At 50.7% G+C, this 16,557-nt stretch overlaps 1 long non-coding RNA gene across 1 annotated transcript, besides 1 other annotated feature; it reads left to right on the top strand.

Moving 5' to 3' along the window:
- Nucleotides 1–5,670: 5,670 nt before the first annotated feature.
- PPP1R26-AS1 (PPP1R26 antisense RNA 1) lies at nt 5,671–15,202 on the top strand. The gene is made up of 3 exons (NR_038969.1): nt 5,671–5,843; nt 9,211–9,832; nt 13,070–15,202. It is a non-coding gene; the product is annotated as a PPP1R26 antisense RNA 1 (long non-coding RNA).
- Nucleotides 12,298–12,951: an enhancer, noted in NCBI's record as "H3K4me1 hESC enhancer chr9:138356815-138357468 (GRCh37/hg19 assembly coordinates)". NCBI's record gives its function as "activates a minimal SCP1, AML or CMV promoter by ChIP-STARR-seq in naive and primed H9 embryonic stem cells {active_cell/tissue: H9 hESC(naive and primed)}" and the evidence as "EXISTENCE:reporter gene assay evidence [ECO:0000049][PMID:30033119]".
- Nucleotides 15,203–16,557: the final 1,355 nt, after the last annotated feature.

The raw sequence follows: 16,557 nt of genomic DNA, 5'->3' as shown, positions 1-16,557 counted from the left end.
CCGGGTGTGGTAGCGGGTGCCTGTAATCCCAGATAATCGGGAGGCTGAGGCAGGAGAATTGCTTGAACCCAGGAGGTGGAGGTTGCAGTGAACCGAGACGGTGCCACAGCACTCCAGCCTGGGTGACAGAGCGAGACTCTGTCTCAGAAAAAAAGTGTATTGTACAACAGTACAATAACACAGAATATTGTACAGTAGTACAATATACTCTTGTACATTGCATTTATTTTTCTGTCATTTTTCTTTTGACTTTGGATTTTGGTTTTTTGTTTGTTCAACCTTTTTTTTTTTTTTTTTTTTTTTTTGAGACAGGGTCTTACTCTGTGTACACCCAGGCTGGAGTGTAGTGGCGTGATCATGGCACTGCAGCCTCAACCTCCCCCGGCTCAGGTTATCCTCCCACCTCAGCCTCCCCAGTAGCTGGGACTACAGGTGCACGTCACCACGCCTGGCTAGTTTTTGTATGTTTTTGTAGAGATGGGGTTTTGCCATGTTCCCCAGGCTGGTCTTGAACTCCTGGCTTGAGTGATCCACCCTCCTTGGCTTCCCAAAGTGCTGGGATTACAGATGGGAGCTACTGTGTCCTGCCTTTTTATTTTTTTACTACACACAAGTTTGAAGTTCTTCTGTAGCTAAATCAATCAAGTTTTCTTTTGTGGTTTCTGGCTTTGGGGTAAGGCCTGGAATAGCTTTTACCACTCTAAGATTTCATAATCATTCACCAGTTTAATCCCTGCATTCCAAAGTAAGAGAACAGTGGAGGGCATGGAGGGGTGTGACCTGGGGCTCTTGGGGAATTCCTGGGCCAGAGTGTGTGGCACGTAATAATAGTTTCTCAAAACAGGGAACACTTGTACTCCTTTTTTGAAGCTACCGATGTTCAGAGATTGGTTGGTTGGTGCTTTTTTTTTTTTTTTTATTAAATTCTTAGGAGGCCTCAACAGTGCCTTGTGAGGCCTTCATTGGAGGAACAGGAGGGGCGTCTGTCATTGTCAGACTCTCCTGTTGTGAGAGGCTCTGGCCTTGGCCTTGGGACCCCCTAGTCAGGCTCCTCACTGTGCAGTCTGTGCCTCCGGGGATCAGCACGCAGGGTCACCTTCATTATCCGCCATGGAGGAAGTGAGGACTCCTGGCATCTTTCTGCCCAGCCCGGGGCTCTGCTGTCCATGGGTGGATGGGCGGTGGCAGCAGGGACAGGTGCAGTGGGCTGCACGTCTCACCTGAGGGGCTCTGGTGGGCTCTTGGGTCCCTATGTGGCTGTTGCTCCCCTCTGGGCCTCTGCTTGGCCTTCTGTGAAGGGCACAAAGAGTCCAGTGGGACCACATGAAGGTCACTCTCCATGTGGAGTGGAGAGACCGCCTGGGAGAGATGGCTGAGGGCCTGCTGGGGACCAAAGTCTGAGCTCATAAAGAAAAGCCAGCAGTTCCTCTGTTGCTCTTTTCCTTTACAGAATTAGTTACATTGTCATAATTAAAGAAAACTCAAGGGCTGGGCTCAGTGGCTCATGCCTGTAAACCCAGCACTTTGGGAGGCCGAGGAGGGCGGATTGCCTGAGATCAGGAGTTCAAGACCAGCCTGGCCAGCATGGCGAAACCCTGTCTCTACTTAAAAAAAAAAAAAAAAAAAAAAAAAAAATTAGCTGGGTGTGGTGGTGCACACCTGGAATCCCAGCTGTCAGGAGGCTGAGGCAGGAGAATCGCTTGAACCTGGGATGGGAGACTCTGTCTCAAAACAAAAACAAAGAAACTCATGTGAAAGAAGGCAACATTTCCCCCCAACACAAGGAAGCTCCACAGTCCCCTGGGAGGACCCAAGGATGCAGGCGCCCCAGACCCTGCTGGCAGGAGGACACAGTGTCTGTTGGGAGGTCATCCTGCTGTGTCTGTTAACTATAAATTGCAGGTCACATTTGAGTGTTGCTTAGCCCTTCGTCCTGAAGTTACTTGCAGTTTGTCCAGGCACGCGCCAACAAGGACTGCTCCAACCTTGTCAAAGCAGAACCCCCGTAAGTGACCAGATGGGGAGAGTGAAATGAACCCTGGAACCTCCTGCACCTCTGGGCCTCTGCTGGAAGGGAGGCGGGTCCGTGTGCCCCAGTGCAGAAGGAGTCCAGGGAGCATAAGAAAGTGGAAAACGCTTGCAGCAGAATGATGTAAAGTGTCACCCCGGTGCATTTTCAGAATCAGGGTGGGCTGGCGTGCCACCTGGCAGAACACGCACGAAGATGTCAGGACCCGTGTGAGCGGCCTGAGTGGAAGGCCAGCAAGGGGGAGGGGAGGTTTTGGTGTTGTCTTTTGGTGTTGTCTTCTTTTATACCATTTAAATTTTCAAAACGGTGAGCATACCAGTCTCACGCCTGTAATCCCAGCACTTTGGGAGATGGAGGCGGGTGGATCAGTTGAGGTCAGGAGTTCGAGACCAGCCTGGCCAACGTGGTGAAACCCCGTCTCTACTAAAAATACAAAAAAAAAAAAAAAAAAAAAAAAAAGATTAGCCAGACATGTTGGTGGGTGCCTGTAATCCCAGCTACTTTGGAGGCTGAGGCAGGAGAATTGCTTGAGCCCAGGAGGCAGAGGTTGCAGTGAGCCGAGGTTGCACCATTGTACTCCAGCCTGGGCAGCAAGAGCAAAACTCCATCTCAAAATAAATAAATGAATAATAAATAAAATAAAAAATAAAATGGTAGGCACTGCTCTCCTATGTATGTAAACCGACTGACATAGGCTGTTTAACAGAAGGACATGAATATTCATGACTGTGAGCACAGCCCTGCGCACGCTCGGCTGTCCGTGGAGACCCGCCACCAGGTGGGGCAGCTGGCACTCTCCATCCGGACCCGGAGCCCGCAGAAAGGGGGCCAGTCCCTTCCCACCCGGGTCCAGGGAGCCCACTGGATTCAATCTTTAGAAATTCTATTTCTGCAAAAGAATTTTCGAAACCATTTACCCCAGAAGTGACTCTGCATGGCTTTATTTGGGTTCATTTCTTGATCGTTATGTTCTTAGAATTTTCCTGGCGTGAATTTTACCCTGTTTATTACTTACAATGTCAGGGGACAACGTGACTTGATGATGATCTGTTTATGAGGGAGCGTTTTAAGCTGAAACGGAAAATAAGCCCCCGAGACAGAATTATTCAGGAGACCCCGCGTGCATCGTCAGTGGGAAATGAGGACATGTCACCTTGGGTTTATTCAAGAGCAGGGTGCCTCCAATTCAGGATCTGGGAGGAAAATGACTTTCTCGCTCTGATTCCCTGCAGAAAATAAATTGGGCGAGGGCCCTTATTCTTACTAGACACTGTTTCTACGTTTGCTCCTCTCCTCAAACAGGAGGGCCTGGAGGGGCCAGCAGGAGTGCGGCGGGACAGGTGACCCCCTCCTCAAAGGCAGGAAAACCTTGCAGAGTAAAAGGCAGAGGTGACAAAGGCCAGAGGAAGTGGGCATCTCTGACCCAGACGACCTCTTGGACAGGAGCCTGCCCAGGGCGGGGGAGCTGCATGGACTTGAGAGACCTATGTGTGAGGGTTTGGCCAGGGGCACCCCCAGGACAGGATGGGGCAGGGGGCAGCCAAGCGGTCACACGGCCACGATGGAGGCTTCGGCTGATTCTCGGGGGGCCCTGGAGCATGGCAGCCCCTCAGATGGCCCCTGTCAAGGAAATTGGCCGGACATTTACACCTCTAAACCCCCTGCACGGCCATTGGACGTGGGCTGCCCCTGGGGAACCTCAGCCCGGGACTGTCATTTGGGCTGGGCAGCCGGGGACCATGGAGTGCTCCTGCCCTGAAGGGGGCCCAGACAGCTGCCCTGTGTCACCCCAAGTTCCCCAGGACCCTCCTTCCTGGGGAAGCAGCAACTGGAATCTTTTACTTCAGAAACTCTGCTAGGAGCTCACTTTCTCCATCTCTTAGGCAAAGAGTTAGTTCACTTGTTAAGTCTCTCTGAGAAATGTTATCTCAACCATGTTCAGTGGAAGAGGCTGCTGAAGCCGTATCAGAAATGATAAGCTGATAAGACTTAGCTATACAACTCTGAAATAGAATGTTGGCAATCAAGGTTAAAACAATGGTGAATGTGACGAGGGGAACAGATTCTGGTAAAACCTCTCACGAGGAGGTTTCTGCACTCTTGTTAAATGAACGTGGTGCAGAGTAAAAATGAGAAAGGTCACGATTTTCTTGAGTCTCAAAAATTTCCCCTAGATCCATGGAAATGATTCTATTTCAGTTTTCCTTTGGCAGAAAGAAGAGGGACTCTACCGCACGTTCTGTGAGTCTTGGAAAGGCATTACAGAACGTTTGATATTTTTGTATAAAAACCTACTCATGATGTCCTGAATCACTTTATTCTGAGGTAGGGGAGGGTAAGGAGCCTCCGCAAGTCTTGATACAGATTTGTAGTTTCTGGCCGGGCACAGTGGCTCACACATGTAATCTCAGCACTTTGGAAGGCTGAGGCAGGCAGACTGCTTGGGCCCAGAAGTTTGAGACCAGCCTGGGCAACATAGCGAGACTCTGTCTCTAAAAAAAAGGAAAAAAAATATGTATACGTATATTTATATCTACGTTTGTAGACCCAGCTACTCGGGAGGCTGAGGTGGGAGGATCGCTTGAGCCCAGGAAATTGAGGCTGCAGTGAGCTGTGATTGTGCCACTGTGCTGTAGCCTGGGCAACAGAGCAAGACCCTGTCTGCAATATATATCTATAGTTGTTTTTGTATGTAGCAGTTTGGCACTGTACAGAAAAGTAGGGCTGCATGGAAGCTGTACCTTTCACCAGCCCAGGACCATCCAAGGCCAGAAGGCATTGAGGGCTGAGCATCGGGAAGAGGCAGGTGTCCCAGGCCCCTCTGTGCCCCAGAAGACTCTGCCTAGCTTCAACCTAAGGCAGCCTTCAAAACCACTCCTGCCACAGTGCAGCAGTATTTCCCGGGGAGAAACACCTGCCCACTTTTCTCTCAGCCTGGTGGTCATGAAGGGAGATGGTAAGGTCCGCTTTGACGGATCATGACACCCCGAGCTCATGTTAGAAAGGGAAGGGAGATGGCCTGGGGTCTATCTGTGGCCACACACAAAGTTGGACCTTAGGATGGGCTCCCTTTGCCACCTATGGCCTTCAGAAGGTCCCATCTGTGATGGTGGCTCCAGTGAGGAGGGAGTCCCCATTTCCAAGGGTCTCCCTTGCAGAGATGGCCAGGAACCGAGGGTGAGCACAAATTGGGGGTGGGCACAGCCTGACGAGGGCAGCTGCTTTGGGTTTTTTTCCTCCCTTGAATCAGAAGTTCAGATGCAGCGTTTCCCTGGGAATCTGGGCTTTTAATTTTTCTCTTTTCCTTTTTAAGTTTTTTATCAGCAGTGTTTTGTTTCACTGCCCCAAGTGGAACCGATGAGCGGGGTGCTACTGTGTGGTTGCCCCCACATCTGACTCACCTCAGTGCCCAGGATGGGAGCAAAGCACAGGTGAGCTGCCCCGCCAGGCCCCTGCGGAGGGGGTGCATGCATGGAGACAGCTGTGGGTGTGGAGGTAAAGCACTCCCATTCCAAGCCCATTGCCCAGAGGGGAGAGCTGGGGGACAGAGGTGAAAGCACTTCCAGACCAAGCCCGTTGCCCGGAGACCCCTTCTTGTTTCCGTGGCAGCAGCTGCTGACCTTTCCGACCTTTCCACCTGCGTTCTGAAACCAGCGTCTCTGGTTACAACCAAAGAGGTTGCTCAGTCACACTCCTGAAAGGCAAAAGGAGGTTGGCCAGTAAAAAAGATGTAAACCCTAGATGTAGTTCTTAGTGTGGAAGCCACAGGAGAACTTCCAATGTGGCCACGGGGATCGCCGAGGCTTTTATGCAGGTAACTGAGCTGGGTGACCAGCTGCCTGGTTAACAGTTGGGCAGAAGTGACCTATTGTTGTGCTCTGTGCTGTCTACTTACAGCTACCGCATAGCAACATGGTAGAGACTGTGACGTTTTGCTCGGCATCAGGTGAAGGCATTCGGGAGTAAGTTTCACAACAGAAGACAGGCTCAGAAGCAGATCATCCGAGTCGGGGGAGAGAGGCGGCGACTAGTCAGGCTCCCTCGAATCCCAGGCTGTGATTATTATCTGCAGCCTGTGTCACCCAGGATGAAAGGGGATGGAAAAGCCGTGCATACCCTTGGTGACAAAGCCACTCCTGCTCTTAAAGGCTGGAGCAGGACATCTGACACAATCCCAGGTCTCCATGGAGGCAGGGGCATGGCCGGCAGCTGTAGACCACAGCCTCCGGGCTCTGGCGTGGAGGAAGAAAAGGAAACCAGCACAGAATTTTTTTTTTTTTGAGACGGAGTCTGGCTCTGTCCCCAGGCTGGGGTGCAGTGGTGTGATCTTGGCTCACTGCAACCTCTGCCTCCAGGATTCAAGTGATTCTCCTACATCAGCCTCCTGAGTAGCTGGGATTACAGGTGCTGGCCACCACGCCAGGGTAATTTTTGTATTTTTAGTAGAGGCGGGGTTTCACCATGTTGGCCAAGCTGGTCTTGAACTCCTGACCTCATGATCAGCTCGCCTCAGCCTCCCAAAGTCTTGGGATTGCAGGCGTGACCCATCGCACCCGGCCAGCACAGAATATTTTTAATTGAAAAAGGAGGGGGCTGCTTTGTGAATTTTTTTTTTTTTTTTTGAGATAGAGTCTTGCTCTGTCCCCAGGCTGGAGTGCAGTGGTGCGATCTTGGCTCACTGCAACCTCTGCCTCCAGGATTCAAGCGATTCTCCTACATCAGCCTCCTGAGTAGCTGGGATTACAGGTGCTGGCCACCATGCAGGCTAATTTTTGTATTTTTAGTAGAGGCGGGGTTTCCCCATGTTGGCCAGGCTGGTTTCCTGACCTCAGGTGATCCTCCCTCCTCGGCCTCCCAAAGTGCTGGGATTACAGGTGTGAGCCACTGTGCCCAGCCCAACTTTGTGAAAATTCTAAAGGATCAAGAGCAGACTGGGAAAGTGGGACCTTGGTCTTTAAGGCTCAGCTTAGGGAGGTGACAGCTGTGTGCAGCCGTGTCCAGGAAGTGGTCCACGGTCAAGGGAGAACTCTGTAATCTGAGTGTGGAGAAAGGTATTGCACAGTCCCCAGACACCCCTAAACATTTCTTCAGAGCCATCTGAGAACCGGCCCTATCTGGGTCATTGCCATAGACAGAGGACACAGCTTGGGGTGCAGAGGACCCAGCCTGGCCCTGAGGCTGAACCATCTGAATAGATCCTGAACACTTGTGGAGACGGAGCTCTGCTGCCCCGAAACCCCGGGATGGACACAGGAAGACGAGCCCGTGCTTTGTACACCAAAGAAAATGACTGAGGAGTCTCAATCTATCGAGAGGTTTATTTTGCCTGGGTTGAGGACGTGCCCAGGGGAAAGTGTCGGCAAACCAGATCCGCAACTTCAGGAGAAGGATGGGCTCCGCGGGCTAGGCGGGTCCGAAGGAGCACAGTAGGACCTGCGGCCTGCACGATTTCCAAAGAGGGTTTGAGAACTTCCGTATTCAAAGAGGAAAGAGCAGACAGTAGGGAAAAATGGAAAGAAAAAAACGGGAGGGTGGATAAAAGAGGCCAGCGGTTGCATTCTTTTGAGGCGTTGATGAGCCTTCCCTGAATCCCCGTTTTACATGGGAAAGGTGGAAGAGGAACAGTAAACTGTGCATTCATCCTGTGCTCAGTGAACCTGCATCTTTATGGAAGAACAGTAGAGGAGGGAGTCAAAGATGCGTTTGTCTCCCGTGAGCGGAGGGAAGACTTCTAGTCCTGTCTTTGTCCCATACCTGTGCAGATAAGCTGTTAATTTACATTTTCAGGGTGAAATTCAGCAGAACTCTGTTTTAGGACAAAGTTCTTGGAAAAGAAAGAAAGAAAAAAGATGTGTTGCCTGTAATCCCAGCACTTTGGGAGGCCGAGGCAGGCAGATCACCTGTCAGGGGTTCGAGACCAGCCTGGCCAACATGGTGAAACCCCATCTCTACTAAAAATACAAAAATTAGCCAGGCGTGATGGCACGCGCCTGTAGTCCCAGCTACTTGGGAGGCTGAGGCAGGAGAATCACTTGAACCCGGGAGGTGGAGGCTGCAGTGAACCCAGACCCTGCCACTGCACTCCAGCCTGGGCAACAAGAGCGAAACCCCATCTCAAAAAAAAAAAAAAAAAGATCTTGGGGACCACAATGTATTTCCTTGTGAGCAAACAGTGAGGGGGGCCCCCTGGGGAGGGGAGTGGCCTTCTGTCTTTGCATCTGTCTATTTAGGAAGACACTGGGAGGTAGTTTTGGGTGACCCAGTTCCCAAGCTTAACTCTTCTTTTTGGCATAGTGAGTTTGGGGTCCTGAGATTTTTATTTTCCTTTTACCTCTTTAAGCTGGAGGAGAAGGAAACTTCTCAGGGATTATCCCAGCACATTATCTTATCTTCCTAGGCTTGAGATAAGACAGAACTGCCTTTGGGCTGCCTGTGTCCCTGGGAGTCCAGAGACCCTGGGTCATATGGCCGGGCAGATGGCAGAGAAAGCTCCATTCAAAATGTCCTGCTCCAAACCTGAGATTCTTATCCTGTCTTAGTAAAACTTGTAAAAATGTGATGGATACATTACAATCTCTGTAACCGCCCAAAGAGTTCACCTTGCCTGCTGTGTAGATAGCGCCATTTTATCAAGACAGAGGAATTGCAGTGGAGAAAGAATAATTCATGCAGAGCCGGCTGTGCAGGAGACCGGAGTTTTATCGTTACTCAAATCAGTCTCCCCGAGCACTGGGGGATGAGAGTTTTTAAGGACAGCGTGGTGGGTGGGGGGAAGCCAGTGAGCCGGGAGTGCTGACTGGTCGGAAATGAAATAGGGAGTCATAGCTGTCTTCTTGCGCTGAGTCAGTTCCTGGGTGGGGCCCACAAGATCAGATGAGCCAGTTTATCGATCTGGGTGGTGCCGGCTGATCCATCAAGTGCAGGATCTGCAAAATAGTTCAAGCACTGGTCTTAGGTTTTACAATCGTGATTTTATCTCCGGGAGCAGTTTGGGGAGAGTCAGAATCTTGCAGCCTCCAGCGACATGACACCTAACCGTAATTTCTAATCTTGTGGCTAATTTGTTAGTCCTACAAAGGCAGTCTAGTCCCCAGGCAAGAAGGGGTTTTGTTTTGGGAAAGGGCTGTTATTCTCTTTGTATCAAACTATAAACTATTAATATAAACTAAATTCCTCCCAAGGGGAGTTCAGCCTACACCCAGGAATGCACAAGGACAGCTTGGAGCTTAGAAGCAAGTGGAGTTGGTTCATCTCTTTCACTGGCTCATAATTTTGCAACGGCGGTTTCATCTCTACCCTGACAATACCTTTTAGTTTTCTTACCCACTGGGGTCGAGACTTAATTGAAGACCTCAGACGGACAGCATAACACGGAACCTGAGACCTTGATTTGCGGGGACAGGCTTAAAGTGTATTCTGGAGTTGGTGCCCCCACCCCAGGGGCCGGCTCAGAGGGTTCACTTTCCAGCCTAACGGCAGGGGAACCAGAGGCTGCCGACCTGGATCTCACCTTGATGGAGGTCTTGTCACCTTCCTCCTTGGCTGGAGAGACAGACTGTGGATGCTCTCCTGCTGGCCACCCAAAAACAACAAACAGACAAACAAATATGAATGAGGAAAACTTGAAGAGGCCCCACGTGCCAGAGGTGGGACAGCTTGAGATTTGGTGAGGATAATTGCAGTGGCTCAAAACCCATAAAGAAGTTTAAGTCCATGAGTTCACCGTAATCTGAAACAAAAACAAAAACAAAAACAAATTGATCATCTTTGGAGGCTAACAATCAATTCATTATCTAGAGACAGGTAAGTAAAAATTCAGCATTGCTCCTGCCCATATCGGGGAGTCTTTTTTTTTTTTAAGCAATCCAACTAATAAATGAAAGAAGATTGGGAGGCCAAGGCGGGCAGATCATAAGGTCAGGAGTTTGAGACCAGCCTGACCAATATGGTGAAGCCCCATCTGTACTAAAAGTACAAAAATTAGCCAGGCGTGGTGGCACATACCTGTAATCCCAGCTACTCCGGAGGCTGAGGCAGGAGAATTGCTTGAACCTGGGAGGTGGAGGTTGCAGTGAGCTGAGACAGAGTAAGACTGTGTCTCAAAAAAAATTAAAAAAAAAAAAAAGAATGGTAGAATTAGAATATCACCATTTGGCAACCCCTGGTGAATGAATGAGTGTAGGTAATGCAGCCACTGACCCCTCGAAAAGGGGGAGCATCCAGCTTCTGTGCCCTTGATAAAGAGCTGCAGGGGATGGCCAGGCGCGGTTGCTCACGCCTGTAATCCCAGCACTTTGGGAGGCCGAGGCGGGCAGATCATGAGGTCATGAGATCGAGACCATCCTGGCTAACACGGTGAAACCCCATCTCTACTAAAAATAAAAAAAATTAGCCAGGGGTGGTGGTGGGTGCCTGTAGTTCCAGCTACTAAGGGAGGCTGCTGAGGCAGGAGAATGGCATGAACCCGGGAGGCAGAGGTTGCAGTGAGCCGAGACCACGCCACTGCACTCCAGCCTGGGCGACAGAGCGAGACTCCGTCTCAAAAAAACAAAAAAAAAAGAGAGATGCAGGGCCTGGGTGTGATCGGGCCCCTGGCCCCAGCCCCTGGCTCCAGCTGCCTCCTTGCAGGAAACCCACTGGACAAGGGAGGAGGTGTTGATCTGTGAGGGGCAGCCAGCAACCACTCTCACTGTGGGGAACTTGGCAGAGGACAGCCCCAGGTATTCACCAGATCGACTGTAAGGAAAAGAAAGGGATGGCGTGGAAGCTGTAGGGGAAAGAGATTTAAAAGACACATCAGATAAAAAAGTGGCTCAGACTAAACTGTCATGTTTAAAGATAGAGATATTAAATAATTTGACCTAAATGAAAGTGTAGAGAAGCACAAGGGAGAGAAGATCCTGTCAGGACGGTGATGACTTTGGGGGCTGGGAGAGGGCTGTGGCCATGAGGGTGCTGTGGAGGGGGCCTGGAGTGGCTGGCAAAGCTCTTGGCTTGCGTGGTGGTGACAAAAAGTGTCTGCCCTATCAAAGTCCATGAAGCTTGGCTGGGCACGGTTGCTCATGCCTGTAATACCAGGCTTTGGGAGGCCAAAGTGGGAGGATCGCTTGAGCCCAGGAGTTTGAGACCAGCCTGAGCAACATAGTGAGACCTCATCTCTACAGAAGATTTAAAAATCAGCAGGGCATGGTGCTGTGCACCTGTAATCTCAGCTACTCTGGAGACTGAGACAGGAGGATCTCTTGAGCCCAGGAGGTCAAGGCTGCAGTGAGCTGTGATTGTTCCACTGCACTCCAGCCTGGGCAATAGAGCAAGACACTGTCTTAAAAAAAAAAAAAAAAAGGCCGGGCGCAGTGGTTCACACCTGTAATCCCAGCACTTTGGGAGGCTGAGGCGGGCGGATCACAAGGTCAGGAGATCGAGACCATCCTGGCCAACATGGTGAAACCCTGTCTGTACTAAAAATACAAAAATTAGCTGGGCGTGGTGGCGCGTGCCTGTAATCCCAGCTACTTGGGAGGCTTAGGCAGGAGAATCGCTTGAACCAGGGAGGCAGAGGTTGCAGTGAATGGAGATCGCGCCACTGCACTCTAGCCTGGCGACAAAGTGATACTCTGTCTCAAAAAAAAAAAAAAGAAAAAAAAAAAGATTTCATTAAGCTAAAAAAAAAAAAAAAAGTCTCTGATGGTTTCCTAGTATGGTTTGAATGGAGCCGGAAACCCCCATAGCCCACCCACCTACCTTCAAGAGCTCATCCCTCACATTCTCCCTCTTCTGCCTCCCCGGGGGGTGGGTGCATCCACTGCTTTCCCCACTGCAGGCGCTTTGCACGGATTTGACCTTCTAAAGGCAACGTTGCACCCACAGTTTGCAGGAGACCTGCCTCCATCTCCTTTCTCCCAGAGAGAAGCAGTCATATTTCCTGCAGTGGGTTATTTAGCACTTACTGCTGGGACCCCCCTAGGCCCTGAGATGAGGACCTGGGGACCAGGGACCCCAGGAGGCCCAGTGAGGGAAGGGTGTGAGACATCTGGGGAGGAAAGCCAGTGGAAGGGTGACGGCCATGGGCAGCTGGGCTCAGGCTCCTGGGGGCCGTGGGGAACGTGCCTCGGAACTTCCCTCTGAGGGCTGAGGGAGCCGGGATCGCCCATCGACTCCCATTCCTCAGTAGCTGATGTCCGCCCCTGGGCCGTGAGCCCCTGCCAGGTCCGGCAGCTCCGGCAGCAGGTGAATGTCCTCCCGCGGGACACGGGAAGCCAGGGGTAGAGACGAAACCGTCTGAGGTGACCTCTGGGGTACGGCAGCATCTCTCATTCCCTCCTGCCCTGCGTGGAGTCCATCCCGTCCTGTCGCTGATTCTTCAAGTGACAATTTCTGGGAGGGCTGGTGGCACACATGCCAGTTCCCACCACCACCACCGTGGCCTTGGCGCCACGGCCGACTCTCATTCTAGAGCCCGTCACCCCGTGCTCCTGCTGGTCTGGGTCACTTGCTGGCTGGGCTGTCTGATGTCATGGCTGAGGCTTCCACCCCAGGGACCTTCCCCCGGCCAGACGGTGGTTGCTGCAGTGACCTGTTTACTGTTTGCTTTGGGCAAAGCACCAAGGGTAGTGGAAAAGGTGGATAAAACGAATGAGAAGATGGAGGCTTTGACCCGGCAATGGAGCCCTCGGGAAAGGATGGACAGGCCGCATCGGAATCGCAGATTCGCTGGAGTGCACTTCGCATAAAAGCCCCTGGATACAGCTGAGGAAAGACTCAGGGACCAATGCTGAGATTGACTGAGAGAAATGATCCAAATGGAAGCACAGAGAAGGAGAAAGAGAGATAAACCAGCTAAACCAGCCTGGAGCTGGAAACGTGTGGGGTGAGGCCCACAGGCCGCAGGGGCCTGCGGGGTGCAGAGGGAGTGAAGAGATGTCAGAGAGGGGCCTACTGCCCCCACAGGGCCCCCTTGTTCCCCCCGAGTGGGTTCCCCAGTTTCCCACCCCCACTGCCTTCCCATTTCTTGGTTAACATTTTCTTTCTTTTTTTTTTTAGACAGAGGCTCACTAGTGGCACGATCTTGGCTGATTGCATCTTCCACCTCCTGGGTTCAAGAGATTCTTGTGCCTTAGCTTCCTGAGTAGCTAAGATTACAGGTGTGCACCACCACGCCCGGCTAATTTTTGTATTTTTAGTTGAGATGAGGTTTCACCATGTTGGCCAGGCTGGTCTCGAACTCCTGACCTCAAGTGATCTGCCCGCCCCGGCCTCCCAAAGTGCTGGGATTACAGGCGTGAGCTACTGTGGCCGGCCACATTTCCCTTCTGGTGCGCGTCCTCCTGTAGCTGTGGGATCAGGGGAGGTAGAGATGTCTTGTAACTGACTCAAGTTTGGCTGCTTGCCGCAGGAGAAGCGAGGTGTGGTGAAAGGAAAGCAACTTTTATTCAGATGCTAGCAGGTGGGAGAGTGGCCAGGCTCAAGGCTCTAAGGAACCATCTCAGCTTTTTGGACTGCGTGAAGGGCTTTAGGAAGGAGAACTCGGTGTGGGAGACATGTGGGAGTAGGGCAGTGGTGCAGGTGTCTTGAGTAATTGCCCATCCGGAGGTCTAGTTGGCATCATCTTGACCTTGGTCTGGTGGTGGTGGACTCATTGTTCATAACTCCCCTAGACAGGAGGATTCCACAGCTGGGTTCTATGCCTGGTTTATTTAAAAATGAGCCCCTGGCATTTCTAAGCAGGCACAGAATGAGATAAGTGAGCACTGTGGCTGGTGGGAAAGGGAGGGAAACAGGTTTAAAGTATGTTTCAAGGCTGCATTCTGAGACTAGGAGGGAAAGGAAGAAAAACTTTAAAATTCTTCTCAAGGCTGAGATATTTGACTACAGTCTCATGCCCAAAATGTTTCTATTCTACACTGAGACCTGATAGATAATTTGGCTGCATACCTGGAGTCCAGTGTGTGCACCTGCCCCTCCCATCCCATACTCGCAGCCAGTGGAAAAGTCTGCAAAAGGAAGCCAGCTGGGAGTGCCCACCAGAGTCAAAGTCTGGGGCAGGCTGGTGGACTCAAGAGGAGTCTTAAATATTGGAAATGTCATCACAAACCATCTGGGAAGCCCCCTCCTCTTAAAAAGGACATAAAGTCAAAGTGAACAGGTGTGCTCACTCCAAGCCCGTGCCCACAACCACAGTGCCCTTCACATTCAGAGTCATGGCCACTAGCCACAAAATTGTGACTTACAGTTCACAAAATTGGGACATATTTACATGTTGACTAAGTTGGGAAATAATTTGGATTTTCTTTAAAAGTAGTAAAAGTAAAGAAGAAAAAGTCAAAAAGGTCTGACATCTAAGAGGGTGAAATTTCCTTACTTTAGATCACAAGCAATCAGGCTGATCCCGCCTGAGCCCTGAGCTCCCTGGGACCCAGCAGCAGCTGTGCATTGGCACGTGGTGCCCTGTGTCTGATCAGCTGACTCCTCAGGCAAAACCTGCACCATTTTCACCAGAATTGCAGATGTCCTCAGTGTCATTACAAAGTTCCTAAGTCATGACCATTCTGTCCTGTGGAACCAGGCTGGACTAAGCTCCCATTTCTTTAAGCCATCCTGTCCCCTGCAGGGACTTCCAAGGTGGAGCTGATGAGCAATAGTTATGAGTCATTGGAGGAGACATCCCAGAGGCGCCAGCTCCCCTCTGCCCTAAACTGAAATTAAGACCTGGTGCTCTGGGTGGGGCCCCTGGAAGGGGATGTGCAACTCAGAGGGGACCTTCTCCACCTCCACCCAGGAGACCCCAGAGGGACCATGGCAGAGCCGGAGCCCTCTTTTTTTTTGTTCGTTTTTTATTTTATTATTATTATACTTTAAGTTTTAGCCCTCTTTTAAAAACCAAATGAAAATAAGCAAAAGAAGCCAATCGTCTCTGTGAAATGTCCAGAAGAGGGAACTCTGTAGAGACAGAGAGGATATTATTGGCTGCCGGAGGCTGGGAATGGGAAGGTGAGGGGCCTGGGGAGGTGATGGTTAAAAGATTCTTCTTTGTGGTGATGAAATTGTCTTAAAATGGACTGTGGTGATAGTTGTGCAACTTGGTGAATATATAAGTTATTGAATTGTACACTTTAAATGGGTGAATTGTATGGTGTGTGAAACATATCTCAATAAAGCTGTTATTTGAAAAATAAATAAGTAAATAAGTGAAGTCCCTGGGCTGGAGCCGGGGGGATGCGGTTGTTCACTCTAGCTGCACTTGCTGTAGGCCCTGGGCAAGACCTTTCTGCACCCTGGCCCTCAGTTTCTCCAATCTGGAACACGTGGGGTCGGCCAAGGTCTCCACAGGCCTTCTCCAGCAGTGTGTGACAGTGTGGAGTGCCTGCAGAGAAGGCACCTGGGTCTCTCTGAGGAGCAGAGAAGGGGACTGGGGCTGCAGGAATGTGGCTTCACTGTGGGCTTGGGTATCTGTGAGGTCCTGTCTGGGAGAAGCCTTCTCCTTCCCGCCACTCTCCACCTGGCTGGGACTCTTCCTTCATGGCTCATATGGAAATGACAGCCACAGAACGCTGCGTGCTCACCTGATGTTCACCTGAGTCGAGGCTCCTGAGTGTGGGATTGGCCCAGCACCTGGCAGAGAGTTAGAGTCAGACGACAGCAGATGCCAACAGAAAACAAAAGCGAACCCTGGAAACGGTTTGGAGCCGTCTAGGAGCCAGCCTTGGGAATGCAGAAAAAGGGAGGGCTCAGCCGTGCCCTCCCAGAGCTGCAGGTGAACAAGGAGTCAGTGCGGTGGGACTCGGCCACTGCAGCGCGGGCAGGTGCTCCAGTGAGGCGAGGCAGGGCTGGGGGATTTTACAAACCCATTATTTCAAAATAATTTCAGGCACACAGAAAGGGTGCAGACATAGTACAAATATTTCCCTTCTCTCCTTAACCCAGATTACCCAAATGTTCACATTCAATCACATTTATATCTGTTATTTTCATTCTTTCATTATTTTTTCACTAGTTTTAGATCCAATGATGAGTCTTGCCTGAAAACATTATTACTATGATACTTGCCAAATGGTTTTTCCAACACCATCTTTTCTCCTACAGTTATCAGTTGGCATTCTATGTAAATAAGACTTTCCTCTCTCCCTTTTTTTTGAGATGGAGTTTTGCTCTTGTTGCCCAGGCTGGAATGCAATGGTGTGATCTCGGTTCACTGCAACCTCCACCTCCTGGTTTCAAGCAATTCTCCTGCCTCAGCCTCCTGAGTAACTGGGATTATAGGCATGCGCCACCACGCCTGGCTAATTTTGTATTTTTAGTAGAGACGGGGTTTCTCCATGTTGATCAGGCTGGTCTCGAACTCCCGACCTCAGGTGATCCAACCGCCTCGGCCTTCCAAAGTGCTGGGATTACAGGCGTGAACCACTGCACCCGGCTAACCCTTCTTATGTGTGTGTGTATGTGTGTACGTAAGTGTGGACTCGTGGACTATTATTTATGGATTATAATTTATTTACTATCATTCTTTAGTTTGTTGTTCAAATTGTCCCTGA

Source organism: Homo sapiens, chromosome 9 (assembly GCF_000001405.40).
Source record: "Homo sapiens chromosome 9, GRCh38.p14 Primary Assembly".
Taxonomy (NCBI): Eukaryota; Metazoa; Chordata; class Mammalia; order Primates; family Hominidae; genus Homo; species Homo sapiens.
This window is presented reverse-complemented; position numbering and strand designations above follow the sequence as displayed.